Below are 24,367 nucleotides of genomic sequence, written 5' to 3'. Positions count from 1 at the left end.
GTGTTGGGTGAGGCCCTGTAACATGACTTTAATATGAACAGAGACATGTGTGACCTTGACTTATATTTTGGATATCTATGACACAAGAAATTTCCTGAGCGTTTTACCCAAAAGGGTAAAAACCTTAAATAAGGAATTGTTGCCACTCATTGTACCATACAAGGATCCCATCAGCAATGGCTTAATATTCTGTAGAAAATGTGGATAGGACTGGTTGTTGGCCAGGGTATCCTCTAGTGCTAAGATGACTACTTGAGGTTTATCCAGCTTTGCGGACCTTGGGTCCTGGATATTAGAGACGTCTCCATTAGGAAATGGAAAACAGCAGCTCTCCATTGGGTTTTATCACATGTGATGGTGGCACTATCAACCCTTATGTATAGACTCTCTTTTCTGGTCACTCAGTTGATACCAAGGGGCACCCTAGTGGCCAGTGGGTCTGGGAGAGGGGTGACCTCCTCTGGCGCCACTGCATTTGGCAAGGGATTGAGGACCAGGGAAGCCATTTTCTTCTGTAGTCAGGATATGCCAGAGGGTGCAGGTTTGGCTCTATCTTGTAGGTACCGTTTCCATGTTCAATAAAGAGGCTTCTGTAGCCATGCTGATTCTGTGCTCCTGCCTCCCTGACCCAAGGCACAGAGGCAGCTGAGTAAAGACCAGTCTGGTAGAGCTGGGTGAACGCTGGGCTCAGGACCTGTGAAAGCTTCCATTAATCTCCAGAGGACTCCAGTATATAGCCAGAGGTTGCTGCTCTAGAGAGCCAAAGAATTTCATGTACTGAAGCCCGTGAGCAATTTATGGCCATCACACGTAGTCCAGAGACTTCAGGAGGCGCAAGAGGAGGTTGTCAATGCTTCTATATAGAAGGAGTCTTAAGGAGGCATTAATGGGATTGCCTGTTGCATTTGAACAGATTTTAGAGCCTTCTGTTGTACGGGGCCCCATTCAAAGTAGGCTGATTTGTGAGTAACAGCATAAATGGGCTGAAGTCAAATTTGCAAGTGAGAAATACGTTGCCTCCAAAATCCAAATAGAACCAGTAAGTGTGGAGCCTGCTTTAAAGTAGTCGCTGCCAATAAGGTGAAGATTTGATTCTTTCCTGTAATGGGTATGGATTATCCCTCACCTGACCAAATAGCACCCAGCAATTTTACTGAAGTGGTATAGTCTTGAATCTTACAGGGCACAATGGCTCAGCCCCAGTTGGAAAAGTTCTGTGACAAATGTTTGTGTCTTCTATGTGAGTATATCCTTTAAATACCTTCAGAGAAGGATGCCATCAGTGCAGTGTCATACTCGTGTTCCTAGAGAAAATTGGATGTTGTTAAGATCTTGCCTGCAAAGACTGAGTGAGATGGCAGAGTTGTTGAAATACTCCATGGTGGAGGAAAATGAAGGTTTATTGTGTTTCTTCAAGGGCAAGGGCAAATCTCAGCTGAGAGGCTGTCAAAATAGGCACAGAAGAGGACACCTTAGCCAAGTCTATTACAACAAAATACCTTTCAGTTGCTAAAGAATGGTCAGTAATGTCAATGATATTAGATATGGGGACCTTATTGAGGGTACCATGGCATTAAGGCTGTGTTAAACCACTCTCAGGCATCATCTATTTCCATCAGGGGTGAGCACTGGCCAAATTGGGTTATTAAAGTGGGAGACAGCAGCAACAATGACCCTTTCTTTCAGTAAGTCTTATATAATGGGTCAATTCCTGTAGCCCTTGTTTCAAAGTATATGCAGCTATACTATTTTAACTGGTGGAAAGGGGGTGTGGAAATGGACTCCATTTTGCAAAACCAACTGTAAGTACTAATTACTTAATTTTATTCCAATTTATTGCTCATTGGGTTTGGGCATCCATGCCAACTATAAGGTATTTTAGGGTAGTGAGTGCTATCTATGACCATGGGGAATTTAGGTAAGGTAATTGTTCTGACAGTTAAGGTGAGGGATAGGTGTCTGTCCTACATTTTATGTCTTATACTTTCCCTAAGAGTATAAGGGTATCTACTTTAAGTTTCATGGGATCCCAGGCGTAGCTATAACTTGAGCCTAGTATTGATTAAGGCAGTGAAGATTTGCAAATATGAGGAGACCAATGAACTACCAGAGAGGTATAGGGACAGTTGTCCTAGTGGGTGGCTGGTGTCCTGGGGAGAAGCTGAGTCCCTAGCTGGCTTGTGGCAGTTGCCATTACCTAAAAACCGGATATTGGACAATGAGCCCTTGGGGTGTCAGGGATATGGGAGTCATGGAAGCCTGGAGCCACCTTGCTGTATATCTGATGCTGCCTGGCACTGGGAGCCATAACTTCCCCACAGTCTGTTATAATCAATCTTGTAATTCTTCAAGGGTTTTGCCCAAGAGAAAATGATTTGAGAAACCTAGATTGTGGAGTCTCCAATATCAGGCCTTTGGATTGGGATCTTGGTTTTGGGGAAGCTGATTGTCTGGAGGTCCCTCATGAGGACACTGCCTCCTTTATGACTCCTACTCCTTTGATTATTTCATTGATAGGAAACATTTATTGGGTTTCATCTTATTTATTTACTTATTTTTATGTTTTTGAGATGGAGTCTCACTCTGTCGCCCAGACAGTAGCACCATCTCGGCTCACTGCAACCTCCACCTCCCGGGTTCAAGCAATTCTCCTGCCTCAGCCTCCCTAGTAGCTGGGATTACAGGCATCTGCCACCAAGCCTGGCTAATTTTTGTATTTTTTAGTAGAGGCGAGGTTTCACCATGTTGGCCAGGCTGGTCTCAAACTCCTAACCTCATGTGATCCACCTGCCTCAGCCTCCCAAAGTGCTGGGATTACAGGCATGAGCCACTGCGCCCAGCCTCATCTTATTCTTTATGGGCAACTAATAGCTCTAGGCCATCCAATGCTTCCCTAATGGTCATAAGGTGGCTAATAAGGAGGAGTAAGACTGCCTGAGAATTTGAGAATGCCCTTCTTAAAAATAATTGCCTTGTATCAGCATCAAAAGGTCCTGCTCGGGGCTAGTAAGAGCCTCTGGTACATCAGAATATTCAGCAAAACAATAATAAACCCATTGCACCATACCAATTTTTCTCAATAGATGTTGTCCTTCCTCCCAGGGTTTCCAACTAGTGAAGGCATGAGCATTTGCAGTGGTGGCCATGGGCTGGGCTATTTTCCCTGTCAGCAACACCCAGTAGATGAGAGGACAGACCGGGAGAGGAGCTCTAGAACACTGCAGAGGGCATGGATTATGTGCTCATTTCAATAGATTAAATGGATTTCTTAAAAAATTATTAATTTGGGGATCACAAAAAAATGGCCTGACAATCAGCTCATCTCTACAGATGCTACAGTAAATTCTGAATGAGTGTTATAGAGGTGCCAAAGTCAGTTGGCTCCCTGTTCATCTTCCTGTTGAATAAATTCTTGTAGTAAATTTTCAGTCAGTTCAACTGACAGACTGTTTCCTTTTCTGCTTCTTCTACCTGAATACAATTTTTTGAGTAGTTATAAGAAACACTTCAGGGAAGGTCTTCCCCTGTCCCATTTTTGAGTTTTTCCATTAAGAGAATTCCAGTCAATGGCACTAGGATCAGGAGCTTGACCCTCCATGTATCCCCACTCCTCAATATTACCTGTTTTGAAGGCTTAGGGGCCTCTGCTCCTAGTGGAGTTGCAACAGCCCCTTCATATACTGATGCTTGGTGGCACCCGCAGTGTTTGGTGATCACTTTTTCAATTTTCCAATACATGTATAGTTTGCTCTGGCCCCTTTGGAAGAACTGGGGTGAGATATTCTGGTCCACTGTTCATTAGGCTCTGTGCCACAGGGCATCTGAGATCTCCCACTCTCGAATACTGAAGATCAGGCTCTTTACTTGTGACAGAAGCAAAGCAGCAACAACAGCAGAGACACTTTGAGCCTCACAGAGTCCAGGTGAGCCAGTGCCCTTGGGCTGTCCCTCGGTGCACCCCATGTAGTTGCTGTTCCTCACCTGAATGACTACCTGAATGGACCCACACATTGTACAGGACACCAGCTTTTCCCTGAGTGCCCTGTAGAACAGGGGTTAGTACCTGGTTGGTGCACGCAAACAACAGTCAGAGGGCAAGAGTTGTTCCCTGAGCCGAGAGTCAGTCAGTCTCAGCTTATGCTGGAATCAAGATAGATGATTCAGTCTGAGGCACGTGGCTCCATCTGGGCCATGACACACTCCCCAGAGCAACTCTAAGGAGGGCACCAATCCTATTTAGGGACCCCAGTCCCTAAATGCCAATTATTGAAACTTCTCATTTAAGGCCATTAAATCTATAGCAGAGTCTCAGCAGGACTTGGCAAATGCAGCACAAACTAGCACAGCTCAAAGTGTAGGCTCGCCAGCAAGCAGCAGCACCACTCAAAGAGCACACTGGCCAGCAGGCAGCAGCGCCAGGTGCACGTATGCCTATAGGCAGCAGAGCTAGTTAGCAAGCCAAAAAACGAGAGCAGAAAGGCCCCCAGGTAGTGGTGGTCGTTGCGCAGAGCATCATGCTCACACCACTTATTGTCTTGTGGTAGCTCATGGAGGGCAGGATCAATCCCTCAAAATTGGCATGGATGTCAATGCTGAGGATGCTACACATGTCCAGAAAGGGCACAAAAACATTCATTTCTCATAGATTGAGGCTTTCTGGAGAGAGCAGGGCAGGCCCCCAAGGTGGTCTGAAATGACTTTAAATCCAGGGGCCAGTGGCTTTGGTTTTTACTGTGGTTAGGGGGCAGAAGCGAGTGAGTTCTGTGCACAGCCAGGGTTTGTGTGGTTTGAACTTCTCTGCAGGCACCCAGGGAGAGAACACCTGGGCTTTCTCATCAGCTGCTCAGTGTGGGGCAAAGGAAGACAGGTGGGGCCTGTCACACTCTTGAGGACACCGATACAACATGCTGTACAAAATCCTCATTTTGGTTTGGAAGCTCAAATTGTATCATTAGCTACAGGTATTGTCAGGTGTTTTCCTAGAAGTGACAGTCTCTGTTTCTGACCAAGTGTCTGCCAAGCTACCATTGTTTGCTAGTCATCCTTTCAAGTGAAAATGGTGTTCCATGGACAAAGCAGCTGGGACCACTTGCACCTCCATCACACAAATGCTTCTCCTTGTGACCACTATAGTACTTGGGTGTGTAACACAAGTGCTTTATGCTTACTTACCATTTCTTTTCACACACTAGTAAAACGTTTACTCATGCATCAAGATTTAATAAAATGCATCTTGTTTACTGCTTCATCAGGGAAATTTGTAGACAAACTGGCACTTTCCCTTACTGAGAGTGAATGGCAGTGAGGTATATACAATGACTATAGATTTAGCTTGGTGGCACAGCCTGGATACCTGCTGAGGTGCCGGCACTTTCACCCAAAGCTGCTTCTGCACCGTCAGTGGAAATGTCAACTCAGTGAAAAGAACAAACAATGTCTTAGTATTATTATAAAAGTAGTTTTGAACACGCAGCCTTTCTAAAAGTATTTCAGGGACCACCCCCTTCCAGATGTTTGCATTCCGCACTTTGAAGACGGCTGGATAAGATCAGAATCAGTGTCAGGAAAGCCCACTTGCCCTTTCCTGAGGCCACAGTGCAAGGGTTCTACTATGGTGAGAGGGGGTGAAAAATTAGGACCAATAATTTAGTCTCCTATGATGGGTGTTTTACCAATCTCAGCTTCTCTCTAGCCAAACTCACTCAATTTCCATTCCAGGCACTGTTTTGGGAAATTAATAATAAGCAACAAGTAGCTCCTAATGTGATTCCAGACCAGTAGAGGCTGAACATACTCCAATAAATGACCATAAAGCTTTGTTAATAGGTTCTATAATAGAAACATATACTATGGGAACACAGTAACTAAGTCTGCACTGTGGGTTCAGAAAAGGCTCACCTAAGGATGTAATGTTTAGGTTGGGTCTTGAAAGACGAGTAGTTCATGTGGAAAAAGAGGATAGGAACTTTATGCTAGGGAAACAACAGGAGCCGTGACATGAACACCACAAAGAATGAGGCCTGCCGACATTTCTTCAAAACCAGCTGCAACTCTGGGCTTCTATGATTATCTCTGAGGCTCCTTTAATCACCCCAGATCCCAACGTGAGGCTGATTCTCATCCCCACCTTCTTCTCTTTGGCCAGCCATTCACTCAGTCATCAAAATTGTATCAAGCACCTACTAGACATTTTTACTGAGTCGCATCTTATCTTAGTCTGAAGTGGGGAAGGCGAAAATTACAGCTTGAAAATTCCTTAGATCACCTATAACATACAATACCTGTGAAGACACAAAGACTTCTTAGATTTCTTTGTGTCTTCACAAAGCCATACACATTGCATGTTATAGGTGATCTAAGGAATTTTGTGATCCACACTGCATGTAACAAAGGACTTGGACACATTAGACGTTTCCAGTCCTGCCATGAGGCACTCACACTGTGAGAGGCATGTGGGAGCTGAGACCAAGTGAAGGACTTGCAGCTTCATAGCTTCTGGTTCATGGAGGAGCACATGAGCCTGGAAATTTTACATTGTTTTTTTTTTCCTCTCTCTCCCATGGTCAAATCTGTAGATTAAAGCATGTGTGATGAGACTCCCTTCTGTTTTGTCTCTGGTCAACTGGAATTCATCATTTCCTTTCTGCCCCCTCTGTCACCACCCCGCTGGACTCCTGGATTGCTGTTAGAGTCCAGGATAGCTGGCCTCTTACTCTGGTCTCTGCATGCTCCCATCCATTCTTGGCACTAGAGTCAGATGAAGCTCCTAAGACTCCTGGATTGAAGGCCTTCCGCATGATACCCCATAGCCAATTGTACACTCAGCATAGGCAACTTTGTGCCATATGACTTTTATCTCTCTGACTTCTTTCTCCAACCAGAATGGGAGGTCACTGGGAGTAAAAAATCACCTTTTCTCCCCGTGATACCCTCAGACTGTCCCCAAGATAGGACCTGCATGAAGTCTGTTTGCTTTTTTTTTTTTTTTTTAAATAATGGTGAAAAAGACATTGAAGTACATTTTGTCCCTTGCATGCAACTTGGTGTTCACTTGTTTTTTCCCTCTTGTGTCCATGAGGCTCCTCCTTCCCCTGCCTTGAGCTAATCATCTGACAATGATTACTTGCTTTGTGAGCTCTGCACCTAAGAAACATAAAGCTGTCAATCATATTATCTTTTGCAGATCTCTTTTAAAACCTGATTCTCTTAAAGTCCTAAAGCAAATACAACCCGTTTGTAAGCACTTCCAAGGTTGTTCTTCCTCATGGGTACAATCACTTCCTGCTGAGCGAAGTTCTTCTCTTCTGGAGATCCAGTCTCCCACACAGCCACCGTGTGTGGGATACAGCCCCACAGGCATTAGGGGAGCTTTCTTTCATCCCAGTCCAGATGTGTGAAAAAGTAGGGGCCCCCTATCCTTACACCACCACCAAAACTGTGAGTTTAATAAATATTCCTCATTACTTGTGTCCAGCTTCCTTCAAAGAAGAATTCAGGCCAGTTTACAAAGAAAAATACATTAACCATGAAACAAAAAAAATAAAAAAAAAAAGGAAGCAGAGAGCAAAACCTTCATTCTTGTAAGATGGAAAAAGTTAGTGCAAAAATATACACCTTGAAACTTATGTACTTACAAAGACGGGTCATTTATTTGGCCCCTGGCTTTCTTTTGAGGCTCTGCAGTAAGAACTATCATTATTAAGTCATAATGCCCTGAGGTAAAAACAATCCAATTGATTGAAAGAAGCAGAATTCCTATTATTGAGTTCAGCTAGAAACTTCTCCCAAGGATTTCCATAAAGAAAACCCATAAAGTAACGATGTCTTCAACAATGTTCTTAAATAGATGTAGTTGGGGGTTTTGTAGAGCTGTTTCTTATCATGTCCCCAGATATAGCCTTAGAGAATGACTAGGGTGTCTTACAGAAAGGAGGCTTCCTTTAAGTCCTGAATCAGACCAAGGCAGGGCAGGACTGGGCAGAAAACTGGACTGGACAGGGCTGGCAGGGCAGGGCAGGGCCAGGTTGGAGTGGACAGGAAGGGCTGACTGGGCAGGAATGAACGGGCTGGGCAGGATGGAGCAGAATGTGAACTGGGCTGAGCAGGGCTTGGCTGGGCAAAGCAGAGTTGGGCAGGACAGGACAGCACCGGCCAGAACAAGGCATAACTGGGCTATGCTGAGCAGGACTGGGCAGGGATGCCTGTACTGGGCAGAAGTTGTCAGAACTGGGCAAGGCTCAGCAGGACTGGGCAGGCCAGGGCAGAACTGGGCAGGGCTGCTAGTGCTGTGTAGGGGAGGACTGGGCAGGACTGGACAAGGCTGGGCAGGTCTGGGCAGAAAACAAGGCATAGCAGGATAGGGTCTTATACTCTGGAAGGAGTTGCTGAAGGAAGGAGAATGTCCTTTGCTCCCAGCAACCCCAGAACTCTTCCTCCCTGAGCATCGGAAGCCTGCTTGATCGGTTTCACTCTGGACTTTGAACCCTGCCAAGGGTAGCAGAGACTCAGAAGCCTCCCCTGAGGATGTTGTAGGAGTGACTCAATCATCTTGGGCTGGGCAGAGTAGTATCCTCACAGTTGGTGAAGACCGTCTGGATCTAATGTGTCCTCTGCCTCGAAGGTCCTTCTTCTCTGGAAAACTCCTTGTCCTTAAAGACCCAATACAAATAGCACTTCCTCTGTGCCACCTTCTTGATGTTTCAGCTCTGCAATTCTCAGATCCTTCACTACATTTACTATGGGTCACCAATAATGGGTGCTTGTGCCATTCCTAGTGCTGGTTATCATTCCCCTCCTTCTACCCTGCTCACTGATCATGAGTGAGCGTGATGGTACTTGAATGGTCTCTACTTTGACACATCCAACATTAATAACAAACTATTTGCAATATGCTTCACAATTAATGTGTCAAGACACCTCCACTGGGAGTCACTCCTAGGCTGAGATAGATCCAACTGCAGGATCAGAGAATAGAGGTAGAAGGGGCTTTAAGAAGTCTTATCAGGAAACTGAGGCCCTGAGATGATAATTGACTTACCTGAAGTCACTCAGAGAATGAGAAGGAGAATCTAAGCAAATTTCATCTGCCTCTTGGTCTGGTATTGTCACCTGGAAGCCTTTTTTTAAAAACACGGGATTTAATATCTCAGGCACTCTGAGTTAATGGCTCTGAAAGCAAGATTTTTCAAAAGGTGGGTCAGTAACTCCCAGGATTTGGGGACTTCTAGAAATTCTCTGAAATGTCACTTCCCAGCCTGAACTCATGGTTCCTTTACCCCTTGATTCTGTGGCACCCCCAGGGGCTTCCTCCCCTTTTAATGGTTTTGTTGGGCAACTATAGGAGCCCCCAAAGTGGAGTGAGAATCACAAATAAACACACTCAGATCAGCCTGGTGGGAAGGTGATGGGCACTGGAGTCAGACGGACCTGGGTTTGGAGCCCAGTTTGATAGCTTGAGTGAGTCATTGACTATCCCCAAGTTCAGTTTTCTAATCTGTAAACCGGAGATGAGAGTATTCACCACACAGGACTGTCATGAAGATGACAAGACATGAGTACAGAATTCCAGCTCAGAGTAGGTGCTCAGTAGACACATTTGTTGCCTTTCTTCTTGAAAGAGCCCCCAGATGTCATCTGTAAAGACTGTTCATGCCTGGAAGGCAGTTCAGAACAGCACGCTGGTTAGGAACTCAGGCCCTCAAGTCAGACCTCAGCCCTAGTTCAGCTTTGCTGCCTCTTACAGGCTGTGCTGACTTGCATGGGTGAACCTCAGTTTCCTCATTGTTCCTACATTGCACAACCATTGTGAAAATTAAACAAAATACTGCATGTAAATGGTCTGAAAGCTCAATGCGTAGTATCACTCAATGCCAGCTCTTACTGGCAGTATTGTTACTCCGCCAGAACACTTTAGATGATGACAAGGAGAATCTTCCAGAAGCTGCGGCTCCCTGCAGCTGACCAGCAGCTCTGCGTTGGGCTCAGCTCTCTGGCCAGATGTAGATGCAGGTGCCTCCCGTAATTCTGGACTTGTTCCCTGAGACCTTTTAGGAAAACGAAGGGGGACTCACAGTAGCTGCGTCTCCTATTCGGGATGTCCAGTGGACTTAAAGCGCTCAAAGTCATGTCTAAAAACTGTGTGTGTAACACATGGTTAAACCAGGCACAGGGTTCCTCTGTCCCCCAACCCCTTAACTCAGGGCCCCCCACCCCCACAAAGGGGCTGCTGCTGGGGCTCAGGATCCCAGATCACCCCCTCTGGCCCATCCCTGATTAGCATTGCAGATTTCTCAAGCCAGAACCTGCCTAATCCTAGCTTGAAGCTTTAACCAGGTAAACATTTAATGAGCCCTGGAGCATAGTGGGCTCAGTCCTGGGGGTGTCAGGAGGGAGGAGAGCAGCCCCGTGACAGGAGGCTGGAGAAGCAGTTGCTGCTTGGAGCTGCCATCTCTGCACTCCCCTTCCCACACCCCACTCCCTGCTTGACTCACTTCCAAGCCTTGACTGTCCCAGCAGGCTCTACAGGGGTGAGCACAGGGGGCTGACTCCTGCATCTCAGAGCTGTGGCTTTAACTTTCATCAAGTCATTGATGGCCCCTGACTGAGGCAGGGCGGGAGTGGGAACCTGGCCTTTGATATAATTGGGGAGCCACTAGGAGGGCTGGACTGATGGGCAGGAAGGGCCCCTCCAGAGCAGCCTCCTTGGCAGATCGCAAGGGGAAGGTCAGAGCACCAATGAATGCTGCTCTTTCTTTCCCCAAGGTCCTGTGCCTGGCAGGCTCCAGGAGTCTGGGGGGACTCTGAAGGATCACGATCCCCCAGGACATAGGCCCCAAGAGGACATCTCCAGTGGCTTATGGGACACAGTGAAATAAGACCATTTCCATCTATGTTATGTACTATGTTGAGTTTCCTAGTATGCCGATGAGGTGGGCGAGCCACATTTACAACCCCAGTTTATGGATGGGGTGACTGAGGCCTAGACAGAATAAATGAAGTGTCTGATGCTGCTGAGTCAGGCAGGGCCAAGACTAGAATCAGAACTCAGGTCTTAGGGCTGCAGTCAGTGCTCTTCCTGAGGGAGCCCCTGCCCTGAACTCACAGGTCTCCTCTGTTCCTGGGAAGGTTTGTGGAGAGGTCCTAAAAGGCAAACGGGGCCCCAAAAGTGGGCACCTGTGACATCAGTGCTAGGCAGACTGGACAGAGGAGCAGGAAGAGGTCTGGAGCCCCACTCGGCCAGGCAGCTGGGGTGGTCAGATCCTCTCCAGAGCCTGCTTGCCTCCTCTGGAGAACTGGTAGAAAGAGGGCTGCTCACCATGTGTTTTGAGATTGTTGTAAGAATGAAATGATAGGAGATGGGCATGAAGGTGTCTTGTACATTGTAAACAGACATAGAAACGAACAGTGTAACTAACATAGAGTCAAGCCGAAAGGAACCAGGTTGGGGACACTTACAGCAGAAAACAAAAAGGTAAGAAGGAAGGAGAGCTTTAAGATGGGGTTGGCTTTCTTTCCTTATTCCTCTCCATCTACTGCCTATGGGCTGTCTTTGCTTTCTGTGTGAAATGTGCTGACCTTTTTTTTTTTTTTTTTTTTTATCCAGAAGCTTCAAGACCAACTTTAAGATGAAAATGATTTTATGAGGCAGAATCTCAGTGTAAATTCCGAATTTTTCCTGAATTTCTGATTTTAAGCACGTTATTATGTTGATATTTTTTAATACCAGTCTCTCAATTCCCAAGAATACAAATTAGGTATTTATCTGTTTGACATTATACATTAAAGTAAAAACAATTTAATTTGGATTTGCTACTGTAATTTGCACACAGATACCACTTAAAAATCATGTCCTAAAAATATCAGACTTAGCTTGAACAAGTTTTAGTGGGAATATATTGCAAAGAAAAGGGAATAAATGCATCATATAGAATGTTATAAAATATAGATGCCTTAATCAATTTTAAGCACAGGTTTAGACTTCAATAAAGGAAAATGATCATGTGTGAGTGAATAATTATTTCAAATGTAGTTATAATTGGGATTACATTTTGGCTCACATGAAATTTTGTAAAACATGAGTTTTATGCAGCAAAGATGTTTTGTCATCAGTTCCCATTGTTTCTTTTAAAATATTATTGGAGGAGGGAAGACCTTTGCCAATGACTGCTTGCGAAGACCTAAGGGAATGGGTCAATATCATTAACGCTTAACTGAAAAAGAAACTGAAGCCCAGAGAACTTAAGTAACTCTCCTGAGGTTGCACCGGGAATCAAGGCCAGAGGATGCTGTTCCCTAAGTGTCCTGACTTCTGAGCTTGTGCGTTGGTCTCTAAAGTTTAACTGCTGCTCTTCACCATTACTTTTTGTTAGGAATGTCATCCGGTGATACAATCTCATTTTTTACTCCCTTTTATGACCTCATTTACAGAGCTAAATATGTTCTTTTTTCCTCCCATTAGTTTCAGATCATGTTGGAAGGAGACCCAGGGTTCTGGGAGTGTGACTTGGTCCTAGCATATGAGTATGAAGTGGTAGAGGGGTCAGAGGGTGATGCAGCAGCGAGGTCCTGCAGCCCCTTACCCCAAACCCTGTGTCTAAAACTGCTTTGCTACGATTTGTCATATAGTCCGAGATCAGAAGAAAATTGAATTTGAAAAGAGGAGTTCACTGCCCCACAGAGAGTATGAAGAGCACTACTGAGAGCAAACCACCCTCCTTGGATTGATAGATCTAAGGTTGGGTGGGTCAAAGGTGGGAAAGGCAGGGCAGGGGCAGCTGTTATATCCAGTTGAGAGTGGGGAGGAGGAGGCCAGCAAAGAATGGGAACCTGAATGTTCTCACTCCAGGTGTGAATCTGGAGGAGCCCGGAGCACCTGCATCTCCCAGCTGCTTTGGGAGGTTTTGCTTATTTCAGGGAATCTGGAGCAGCAGCCAAAGGCTGCCTCAGAAACAAACAGGCTGTTTTCTGAAAGTAGGACATTTGGTGTCCTTAAAGGCAATATACCGTCAGCTCCCCACTTGGTACATTTACTTTAAAGGGAACAGAATTACAGAACTGTTCAGCGCTGAATGAAAGGTTTAGAGACATATACCATGAAGCAGTTCCAAACTCCATGTTGATGGGCTCAAATCCTTTCATCTTAGGATCTCAAAACACCTTACCTGGCATTAAGGGTGATTGCTTCAGCTTTACAGAGAGAAAATAGAGACAAAGAGAACAAATCCTGCTGGATGAGATAGTGAGTGGACAGTGAGTTGTGAATAAATCCTGGGGCTGAAGGAGACCTTGAAATGCTGTTGGAAATTTGATGGCATTCTTTCCTCTCCCTCTGTTATGGAGCTCGAAAAGAGAGGGGAGATTGCTTGCCTTAGAATCTGAATTTCATTGCCAGTGAAATAATCCTAAAGTGGGGAGTGGATGACAACTAAGAAACCCAAAATGAAAGCACATTCCACCCTTTGCATAGTTCCTAATAAAAATGAATAAAACATATGCTATACTTCATTGTTTACCCACCAATTCTCCTCCCACCAATTTATTGACAAGGCTTCAGCAAGAGATCCAGCACAGATAGCTGTGAGGATAAGTGATGGACTCTGTGCTTTTACTTTTATCTATTTCAGAGTCTAAGAATCAGCAATTAGATCATGAAAAGGGGGTGGTGGTGACTACTTATCCATGTCTTTGCTATGATGAATAGCACTGCAATGAAGATAGGAGTGTGTGTATCTTTTTGATAGAATGAATTATTTTCCTTTGTGTATATACCCAGTAGTGGGATTTCTGAGTCGAATGGTAGTTCTATTTTAAGTTCTTTGAGAAATCTCCAAGTTGCTTTCCACAGTGGACCTAGTTTGCATTCCCACCAACAGCATATAAGTGAACCCTTTTTGCCACAGTCTCACCAGCATCTGTTACTTTTTGACTTTTTAATACTCATCATTCTGATTGGTGTAAGATAGTATCTCATTGTGGTTTTAATTTGCATTTCTCTGATGAATAGTGATGTTGAGCATCTTGTCATATGTTGGCCATTTGTATGTCTTCTTTTGAGAGGTGTCTGTTCGTATCCTTTGCCTATGTTTTAATTGTGTTATTTGTTTTTTGCTTATTGACATGTTTAAGTTCCTTGCAGATTCTGGATATTAGACCTTTGTCAGATGCAAATATTGTCTCCCATTCTGTAGGCTCTCTGTTTTCTGTTGGCAATTTCTTTTGCTATGCAGATTTTAGTTTAATTAGGTTCCATTTGTCAATTTTTGTTTTAGTTGCAGTTGCTTCTGGAGACTTAGCCATAAATTCTTTGCCCAAGCTGATGTCAAGAAGAGTATTTCGTAGGTTTTATTCTAGGATTTTATAGTTTTAGGTCTTACATTTAAATCTTTAATCCATCTTGAGTTAATTTTTGTATATGGTGAGAGGTAGGGGTCCAGTTTCATTCTTCAGCATATGGCTAGCCAGTTATCCCAGCGCCATTTATTAAATACTTTACCTACTGCTTATTTTTATTGATTTCATTGAAGATCAGATGGTCATAGGTGTGCAGGTTTATGTGTAGGTTCTGTATTCTGTTCCACTGGGCTATGTGTCTGTTTTTGTACTAGCACCCTGCTGTTTCGGTTATTGTAGTCCTTTTTTTTTTGAAATGGAGTCTTACTTTGTCTCCCCAGCTGGAGTGCAGTGGTGCCATCTCTGCTCACTGCAACTTCCGCCTCCCAGGTTCAAGCAATTCCCCTGCCTCAGCCTCCTGAGTAGTTGGGACTACAGGCGTGTGCCACCACACCTGGCTAATTTTTGTATTTTTTTGTAGAGTCGGGGTTTCAACATATTAGCCAGGCTGGTCTTGAACTCCTTACCTCAGGCAATCCACTTGCCTCGGGCTCCCAAAGTACTGGGATTACAGGCGTGAGCTACCACCTGGCCAGGTTATTGTATTCTTAAAGTATAGTTTGAAGTCAAGTAATGTGATGCCTCCAACTTTCTTTTTTTGCTTAGGATTTCTTTGGCTATTTTGGGTGTTCTTTGGTTCTGTATGAATTTTAGAATATATTTTTCTAATTTTGTGAGAGATGATGTTTGTGTTTTGATAGGAATAGCATTGAATCTATAAATTGCTTTGAGCAGTATGGCTATTTTATTAATAACAATATTGATTCTTCTAATCCATGAACATAGAATATTTTTTCCATTTATTTGTGTTATCTCTGATTTCTTTCAGCAGTGTTTTATAGCTCTCCTTATAGAGAACTTTCACCAGTTTGGTTAGATAAGTTCCTAAATATTTCATTCTTTGGCTATTGTAAATCTTTGTCTACTTTTAAATGAGATTATTTGTTTTTTCTTGTTTAGTTCATTGTAGATTCTGGATATTAGTCCTTTGTCTGACACATAGTTTACAAATATTTTCTCCCATTCTTTAGATCATCTATTTACTCTATTGATTTCTTTTGCCATACAGAATCTTTTTAGTTTAATTAAGTTGCATTTGTCTATTTTTGGTTTTGTTGCATTTGCTTTTGAGGTCTTAGTCATAAATTATTTGCTGAGGCCAATGTCCAGAAGAGTTTTTCCTAGATTTTCTTCTAAGATTTTTATTTTGGGGGTGTAATGATATGGCTTGGCTGTGTCCCCACCCAGATCTCATCTTGAATTCCCACGTGTTGTGGGAGGGACCCGGTGGGAGGTAATTGAATCGTGGGGGCAGGTCTTTCCTGTGCTGTTCTCATGGTAGTAAGTAGACTCATGAGATCTGATGTTTATTAAAAGGGGGACTTTTCCTGCACAAGCTTTCTCTTTGCTTGCTGCCATTCATGTAAGACGTGACCTGCTGCTCCCTGCCTTCTGCCATGATTGTGAAGCTCCCCCAGCCATGTGGAACTGTAAGTCCAATAAACCGCTTTCTTTTGTAAATTGCCCAGTCTTGAATATGTCTTTATCAGCAGCATAAAAATGGACTAATTCGTAATCCTTTGTCAGATACATAGTTTACAAATATATTCTCCCATTCTGTAGATTGTCTATCTACTCTATCGATTATTTCTTTTGCTATACAGAATCTTTTTAGTTTAATTAAGTCCCATTTACTTTTGGGGTCTTATTCATAAATTCTTTGCCGAGCCCAATGTCCAGAAGAGTTTTTCCTAGATTTTCTTCTAAGATTTTTACAGTTTCAGGTCTTACATTTAAGTCTTCAGTCCATCTTGGATTAATTTTTGTATATGGTGAAAGATAAAGGCCCAATTTCATTCTTCTGCACATGGCTAGCCAGTTATCCCGGAACCATTTATTGAATACAGTGTCCTTTCCCCAGTGTATATTTTCATTGACTTTGTCAAAGATCAGTTGATTGTAGGTATGTAGCTTTATTTCTGCATTCTCTATTCTGTTCAATTGACCTATATGTCCATTTTTATACCGGTACCATGATGTTTTAGTTACTACAGCCTTGTGGTATAATTTGAAATCAGGTAATATGATGTCTCCAGCTTTGTTCTTTTTGCTTAGGACTGCTTTGGTTATTTGGGCTCTTTTTTTGATTCCATATGAATTTTGTGATTATTTTCTCTAATTTTATGAAAAATGATGTTGATTTGATAGGAATTGTTTTGAATCTCTCACCATGCCTGAGTTCTTATTTGAGACTGAAGGCCAATGCTGTTAGAATTTTAAATGTGGTTAAGACAACAACAAAAAGATGAAATATTTTGGAATAAACTTAATAAGAAGTGTGTAAATCTTATATGAAGAAAACCAAAAAACATTTTTGAGAGATACAGAATTGAGTAAGTGGAAGCACATCCCTGTTCTTTGATAAATATTTCAATATCATCAGTATGCTGGGGAAGTTAATTTATAAATTTAATATATCCCCCCAAAACTGATAAGATACTTTTTTGCCATAGCTTTACGGATGATACTGAAAGTCCACATGGAAAAATAAACATGCAAGTATAGCCATGAAACAGTGAAAAGAAATAGCTATGTTTGTGTGTCTGGGGGAGGGGGAGAAGTGGGGGAAGGAAGCAATAAGTCCAAGGAGACAAAATATACTGCAAAGTCTCTATCATTTAACAATGCAGTTCTGACAAACAGACAAACTAATGGAATAGAAAGTTTAGGAATCCACCAAATACATGTAGCAATTTAGTATATGATAAAGGTGGCATCTCAAGTCACTGGGTAAACATAGCTATTTTAATAAAAAATATGAGGCAACTAGAAATCCATATAGTAAATAATAAAATTAGATGTATACAATAAGCAGCAGTAAACTCTGGATGTATCAGAGGGAGAGTAGAATACTGGCCATGGTGGCATCAAGAAGTTGGCATATTCTCTGTCCCCAAAATACATATCAAACTGGACAAAAATCCTTTCAGGGATCTGGAAATCAACCAAAGGCTGACAAAACATTGAGAAGCATTTATGGATGAAAAACTACCAGAGCAGTGGGTGACAACATCGCAGCCTGCAAACTACTTGCTGGGGCCATTGTCAAATTCTCCCCTGACCCTCCTACAAATCCTATCCACTCTCCACATACAAAGCTGTTGGCAAAAATTATAATTTCACCATTGCAGAATTGACCAGGGAAAACAGTAGCTTTGCTGCCCAGGGGAGTGGACTTGATATGGGGAAGAGGGAGACAACTCAAGGTGTTGTCAGTAAAAATAGCAAACTCAGTAGAAAATGAGCAGGAAATACTATCACTCTGTTAATATGCCTTGAGGTCCCAGGGCAAATCGGGGTATGAAGTGGATCAGTGAGATATTTAACAGGAATATCCTAGATATTAGAGTCGCAGAGGTCCTCTCCACCCTTCTCTGACTGACCACGAAACCATGAGCATGCTCAGGGACCCAAGAGAGCTCAGGGCAAAGTGAAAGTCAAGGCTGACTTGAGAACTAGCTGACCTTTGAAGGCTTCCCAATCTATACATGATAAACCAGCAGAGTGAAAGCTTTAAGAGACCAAGGCATTTGAGAACAGCCTGTACCCAAGTGTTGGTTATCTATGAACTACATAATCCTAGAAAGCCAGTGAAAAAAGTGAAGTTAGGAATGAAACAACTGCACAGAGACATTCGTGGCTATTCACCATGGGAGAGAGAGATTCTGTAGCTTAAGTTCAGGCAAGCTACTTCACTTTCCCTACCAAGAAAACCCTCAGGAAAAAAAAAAAGAGAATCTAGAGTTGTCATAATATATTACCTAAAATGTCAAATTTCAAACAAAAATGTTGAGCATGCAAGGAAACAAGGTGTGACTCATACTCAAGAAAAAAAATAAGTCAATAGAAAACGGATTCTGCGTGAGCCCAGAATGATAAATTTAGCAAAGACTTCAAAGATCTATTATATATATATTCAAAGAATTAAATAAATATATGGTGGCAATAACTCAACAAATAGTAAATCTCAATAGAGAAAAAGAAACTATAAAAAATGGAATTTCCAGGATTGAAAAATACAGTAACTTTTAAAAAAATTACTAGATTTGTTCAATAGCAGATTTAAGATAGCAGAATTGATGAAATCAAAGATAGTTCAGTAACCATTTAATATTCTAGCCAAAAATGCGTAACACAAATCTAATGAGGAAATATCAAGCAAACCCAAACTGAGAAGCATTCTATAAAATAACTATATTCAAATAAAATTATATAAGGTAACTGACCTATAATTTTCAAATTATCAATGTCATGAATATCAAAGAAAGGACAAGGAACTGTTTCAAAGAAAACTAAAGAAACAAGACAAACTAAATGTAATACTCGATAACTGCACTGGATTATTTTCTGGGAATAAAATTATAGTAAAGGATATTACTGGGAAAATTGATGAAGTTGACAAATAACCTCTAGTTAGATAAAACTATATCAATGTTAAAGTTATTGAATTTGATAATTCAACCATGGTTGTGTAAGAGGATATCCCTGTTCTTAGGAAAGATACATTGGTGTATTAAAGGTAAAGGGACATGATGTATATATATTGTATAAAACATGCTTTCAAATGGCTTGAGAAAAATTATTTCAGAGAGAGAGAACAAATATGGCAAAATGTTACAACTAATGTGCCTAAGAATAATATCCAATGCTCTGTTAAGACCTGCAGTGTATTTTATGTGAATTAGATGGCTCTTTAGTCAAAAATCAGGGCTACACCACACTTTTTATGGACTCTGGATTTTAAGGGTTTTAATAACCCTTTTTGGAAATAATATTTTTTCTTTTAAAATAAAAAATAAAACTAATATATACACAGTTTATAATGAGACTCTCTCTCACCCCCAGGTCCTGCTCCCTGCCTGCCCATCTTCGACCTCAGCCCTCCTCCTCCAAAGCAGTCCCTCAGAACCCCTCCTGGTTTCAGTCTGGATCCCACCACATGTTGAATGGCACCCTCTCAATCTGGGACAGCGTCCGTTGATTTTCTCCTGTGATAAATGAGGTTTTGGCTTATTTACATTCTCATCTTCCTTTTACTTTCTTCTAAAGAATCAAGTCACTACTTTCAGTTCCTTTAGCTTTGAAATTTTAAATATTATATTTAAGCCTCTGTATCTTGTGATAGCAATAAAGACCATACCTCTTGAGTCTTACTCTGCAAAATGAGGAAATGAAGACCCTGTATCTCCCTTTAAGTCATCTTCCTTCACCTCTCAGTTTCTGTGACCTGAACTTTTATATCGCTGAAGTTGAGAGTATGTACGTTATATTTTGGGATTATAATTAAGTTTTCTTCTTTCTTTCTTTTTTTGCTTTGACTCTAACTTGATTCCAAAAGTGGAAACCAACGCAGAGATTTTACGTTATTATGAGGAGGTGCTGACTATTTACTGCAAAGCCAAAGCCAATTAATTACTGTGCTCTGATTACATTTCTTTCTCTACAGTTGCCATTTCATTATTCCTGTATCACATAAAGAAAAATCTTCAAATAGATTATTTTTTCTTGCATTTTACCAATTGCTCAAAATTATGTCATATTTTTTCAGATTTCACCTTTGGACTTTGCCTTTCTTGGACTTGCCCTTCCTCAAAATTACAGATTGCTTTACATTTTTCTTGTTAAGGGAAGGAACATAGGCCTTTTTGCCTTCCTCTTTTTACCACTCAATCTCTCTATTGTTCAGAATCCATTTTGTGTTTTCTTATGGACAATGATCTCTTGTTCTATGTTGAACCAGCTGCTTCATATTTGGACAAGTTTCTTGAGAGCTTTTTGGTTTCCTTGGAGAATCTAAGTGCCTTCCTTTATTTATCCCCATGCTTTTTGTTTTCTCATTCCCAATGTGTTTTTAGATTCTGTTCTATTGAGTCCCTTCCCCAGCTTTTCCTCCCACTTCTGTTTTTTTTTTTTCTTGGAACCTTCTTTCTTGAAGGTCTCAGTTTCCCTAGTCCATTCTTCACTGGTTGGTAGGCCTATTTCACAGCTATCATTCTAGAACTTTTGTATTTAGTTTCCTGGGTTGCATCTGTTGTTTCCTGGATCCAATGTTTTCCTCTTTCTTTATTTCCAACACTATTTTGTTGACAAACATCCTGAAATAACTTTAAAAGACGGTATGTAGAATATAAACTTTCTGAGATTTTTTTTGGTATCAAAAGACTTTTATTCTTTTACACTTGTTTAGTAAATTACCTGGTTATAAATTCTAGCTTAACATTTTATGTTCCTCAGCCTTTGCGATATTATTCCATTATATTTTAGCATCCACTGTGGAGGCTAAGAAACATGGTGTCAATCTGAATCTGTTTTTTATTTTTGTTGGTAGCCATTTTCCCCCATCTGGGTAGTTTTACTAGTTTCTATTTAGGCCTGGTGGTCATGAGTCTAGACATGGGTCAGTTTCTTTCATCTTGTTTGACTCTATGTTTTCCCTTTTAGCAACCCTCTCAACTGAAGTAGACTTTCTGAATTGAACACCATGTCTCTTTTCTCTCGTACGTTGCATCTCTTTGTCTTTTTGTTCAACATTCTGAAAGTGGTTTTTGGTTTTGTATTTTAAGGATCCAATTTATTAATTTTTATGTTGGGGAAATTATATTTTTGATTTCCAAGAGATCTTTAATGTCTTCGGATATTTTTAAAAAATGGCACTCAGATCAGGATTTTCTTGAATTCCACTGGGATTTTCACTTAATCTTAATGTTTCTCATGATGCTGCAGGTTTTGCTTGTGTATCATGAGATTTTTAACTGAGGCTGGGGAGAGGCTGATTGGGAACTCTCTGTACTTGGTGAGGCCTCTTGATTGACAGCTCCCCTTAGGGTGGGAAGACTGAGAGCCTTTGTCCTGGGGGCACCCCAAATGTCCACATGGGTAGGGTTTTGCTTGCAGACACAAATCCTCACAATAAAGGCTCATGTCCTCTCCAGATAGTTTGTTTTAATTCATTAGAGACTTTAGTTTTTCTTTCTTTGCACAGGGCAGATGGCTAGCACCCAGTATTCTGCATGAGAGTAGAAGTAAATTGTTCCATTAACATACCTGTATTCTGTGTTCCATTCTGACCCTAGCTTCCATTGTATTTACTCTCTCTGGAGGTCTGCCTGGAAATTTGATTTCCTCTCTGTAGGCAACTCTACCTGTATTCTAGGCTGCAGTTGTATCTGTTGTCAGACAATACAATTTCCTTCTCCCTTTGTTGAACTTTCTGGTCTGTGAATGGGCCCCTCCAGTTCTGTTTGATGTTTAATGAGGTCTTGCAAGGTATAAGACATGTGTCTGTCTACTATCTTTGGGAATAAGTTTTAATCACCAACAGTTTTGCTAGCAGGAGTCTTTGGTCAAGCTCTCTGCCTCCAGGAGGTGCTGCCCTGTTCTGTCTCAGGCAGGTTGCACTAATCCTTATTTTAAATTTAGAGATAGCAGTTCCACAAACACTTTTCCACACACTAGTAATGCATTCAGTTTTATAACTTTCGGAGACATAAACCTACTCATTCCTGAATTAGTGATTCTCCTTTCACCAAAGGTCAGTATTTATTGCTTGGTAAGGAATCTTGGTTTTCTGGAACCTCCCCAAATCCCTGGCTTTCATGAGTCCAAGCCAAGATCACATAATCTACAGGGGTAGTGTTATCCTGAGCTTTGCTCCCTCCAAGCCTTTGCCCATCTTCTTCTTTCCGCTGGAATGTTTGCTCCTTTCTCCTGCACCTTACCTGTTGTCACTTCCAATAAAAATCACACCTGAGATTCCAGGCAAGACCGGGCAGGCCATTCAAAGTACGCTTCCTATCAACATCCACGTTCTAATGGAGTTGCTGCCCTAAGCCCTGTGGAAGGAAGTGTGGTCATCAGCAGCTCCTTAATGTGTACCATATTGTCCCATGTGATTCCATTGCCCTCTCTTGTCACAGACGGTTGTATGAAGCTTGGCCATGATCCAAGGAAAACCAACCTATAGATGTGACAGCAGCCTATGAGTGGCCCTGGGCTTATTTCACCTAATCAGACTGATGATGACTACATTGGATCCATTACTCTCCATTGGGCAGTTAGCTGACAGCTGAGATGATGAACAGAGTCAGATATACACAGAGAGAAGCCGAGTCACATTCACAGTGGGGCATTAATGAGTAACAAAACAAGACTATTGCTGGCAGTGTCTTGGGCCCCAAGTGACTTCTGTCTAACTCTAGACTCTGTGAGGCTTGGTGTGTCATGGGCTTGTTTTCCCCATTAGAACAGGTTGAAAAGTTTTTCTTGGTTACAGCAAGTCCTGGCTGATGGCTAGGAATCTTTTTCTTATTGCTGTCTGCATTCTAATCATTAGCCTCCCATTGTTTGGGAGTAATATGGGTAAATTTCAGAGCTCAGGCTAGAGTGAGATAAATCCAAAGGCTTTGTTCAAAGACAAAGTGTTCTATGAAGCTGCCTCTGCAACCCCAGGGATTGCTCCTCCCTCTAAACTCACAGTTATAAATACTACTGATAAGACACAGCCCATACTGCCCCGTGGTTTGACTTTCAAACCTGTGCTATTACAGGATTGGAAGAGTATGAGGACCATGGCTTATTCTTATTCACCATTATGTCCTTACAGTGCCTGGAGTAGGGATGGCACAGAAGAACTATTCAGCACATGAAGCAGTGAATGAAAAGACAAAAGGGCAAGAAAAGGAGAGAACAGTGGAGAAAAAAGATTTTAATTAAATACATGTGGGAATTTATCTCTGGCTATTATTTATTCCACCAAGTACACGGATGTATGAATTCATTTAGCAAACCTTTCTTTTTTGCACATTTGCTATGTATTAAGTGTTAGATATACAAAGAAAGATAAGAAAGACACAATCTTTTTTCTTAAGGGGTTCTAAATCAAATAGAAAATATAGAGTTGTAAAATAATATTTATAATACAATAAATGTTGTGTCCTCATAGTTCTCTGAAAGCAAAACAGTAGCTGAAATATAAACGATGATGTTTTCATGGAAGAGGAGGAAGAATGAGGCTCCTACTATGTGTGACCTGGTGCATACATTATCTCAGTTGATCCTCAGAGCAAGCTTTTCATGGTCTATGTGGTCTGTCCTTTGTTTATTCTACAGCTGAGGGATCAGGCTCAGGGAGACTTGAGTTTTGCCCCAGATCACACAGCCAGCAAGTGACAGAGACATGATTCCATCCAAATCTTCTGACTTTAAACCCTCCTGCTCTGTGAATGTTGAGTACCTGACCCAGGTGACTTTTCTGGAGCTTAACCTTGCTCTGACATAAGATCAGAGGGAAGAAAACACACTGTTTGGTTTAAGAAGATTGTCCTGACTCTAACACCCTTGGGGCCTTTAGGGGGAAAGCAAACTCCTGCTTGTTGGCCTCACAAGACATTTAGCCTCAGCAGCTGGATTCTGTTCTAAGGAGGCCTGGTTTTCTCATCTCACACCTGGCCTCAGACTGACTCTGCTGGCCCCAAGCTGCTGGGCCCAACGGGAGGTGCAGACACAGGCTCTAACCTGCAGCTCGCCCTGCCTTGCTTTCAACCTGGGCTTTGCATCAGCTCTGCCTTCAGGGCTTTGTTTAATTATTGCAAACCTGCTGACTCTGGTTTTTTTGTCTTTTTGTTTTTAAAATCCTGGACACAGATTCCGCAAGGAGCCTGATAGAAGTAAAACATTTACCCACCATTGGTGATGTCATTACCAAAAGTGGTTGGCAACTTTCAGGCCAAGTTCATGCTAGAGTTAATCTGGAGCTCAGCCTGGCTCCAGATGAAGACAGATGTAGGAGGAGGCAGGGTGCTTGGATCTCTGAGTGACTACAGAGCCACTCGTCGCTACCAGTCAGCAAGCATCCCAACACAAGAGCTGGCCCTCCAGGGCATAAGTTAAAACAGGAAAAGGCCTAGAAAAAGTAAGGAGA

General features: G+C 42.1%; 4 annotated features.

Moving 5' to 3' along the window:
* Window positions 7,667-8,166: an enhancer, noted in NCBI's record as "H3K4me1 hESC enhancer chr2:30189399-30189898 (GRCh37/hg19 assembly coordinates)". NCBI's record gives its function as "activates a minimal SCP1, AML or CMV promoter by ChIP-STARR-seq in primed H9 embryonic stem cells {active_cell/tissue: H9 hESC(primed)}" and the evidence as "EXISTENCE:reporter gene assay evidence [ECO:0000049][PMID:30033119]".
* Window positions 8,167-8,668: an enhancer, noted in NCBI's record as "H3K4me1 hESC enhancer chr2:30188897-30189398 (GRCh37/hg19 assembly coordinates)". NCBI's record gives its function as "activates a minimal SCP1, AML or CMV promoter by ChIP-STARR-seq in primed H9 embryonic stem cells {active_cell/tissue: H9 hESC(primed)}" and the evidence as "EXISTENCE:reporter gene assay evidence [ECO:0000049][PMID:30033119]".
* Window positions 10,054-10,554: an enhancer, noted in NCBI's record as "H3K4me1 hESC enhancer chr2:30187011-30187511 (GRCh37/hg19 assembly coordinates)". NCBI's record gives its function as "activates a minimal SCP1, AML or CMV promoter by ChIP-STARR-seq in primed H9 embryonic stem cells {active_cell/tissue: H9 hESC(primed)}" and the evidence as "EXISTENCE:reporter gene assay evidence [ECO:0000049][PMID:30033119]".
* Window positions 10,555-11,055: an enhancer, noted in NCBI's record as "H3K4me1 hESC enhancer chr2:30186510-30187010 (GRCh37/hg19 assembly coordinates)". NCBI's record gives its function as "activates a minimal SCP1, AML or CMV promoter by ChIP-STARR-seq in primed H9 embryonic stem cells {active_cell/tissue: H9 hESC(primed)}" and the evidence as "EXISTENCE:reporter gene assay evidence [ECO:0000049][PMID:30033119]".

The sequence above is a fragment of the Homo sapiens genome, chromosome 2 (assembly GCF_000001405.40).
Source record: "Homo sapiens chromosome 2, GRCh38.p14 Primary Assembly".
Classification (NCBI taxonomy): Eukaryota; Metazoa; Chordata; class Mammalia; order Primates; family Hominidae; genus Homo; species Homo sapiens.
This window is presented reverse-complemented; position numbering and strand designations above follow the sequence as displayed.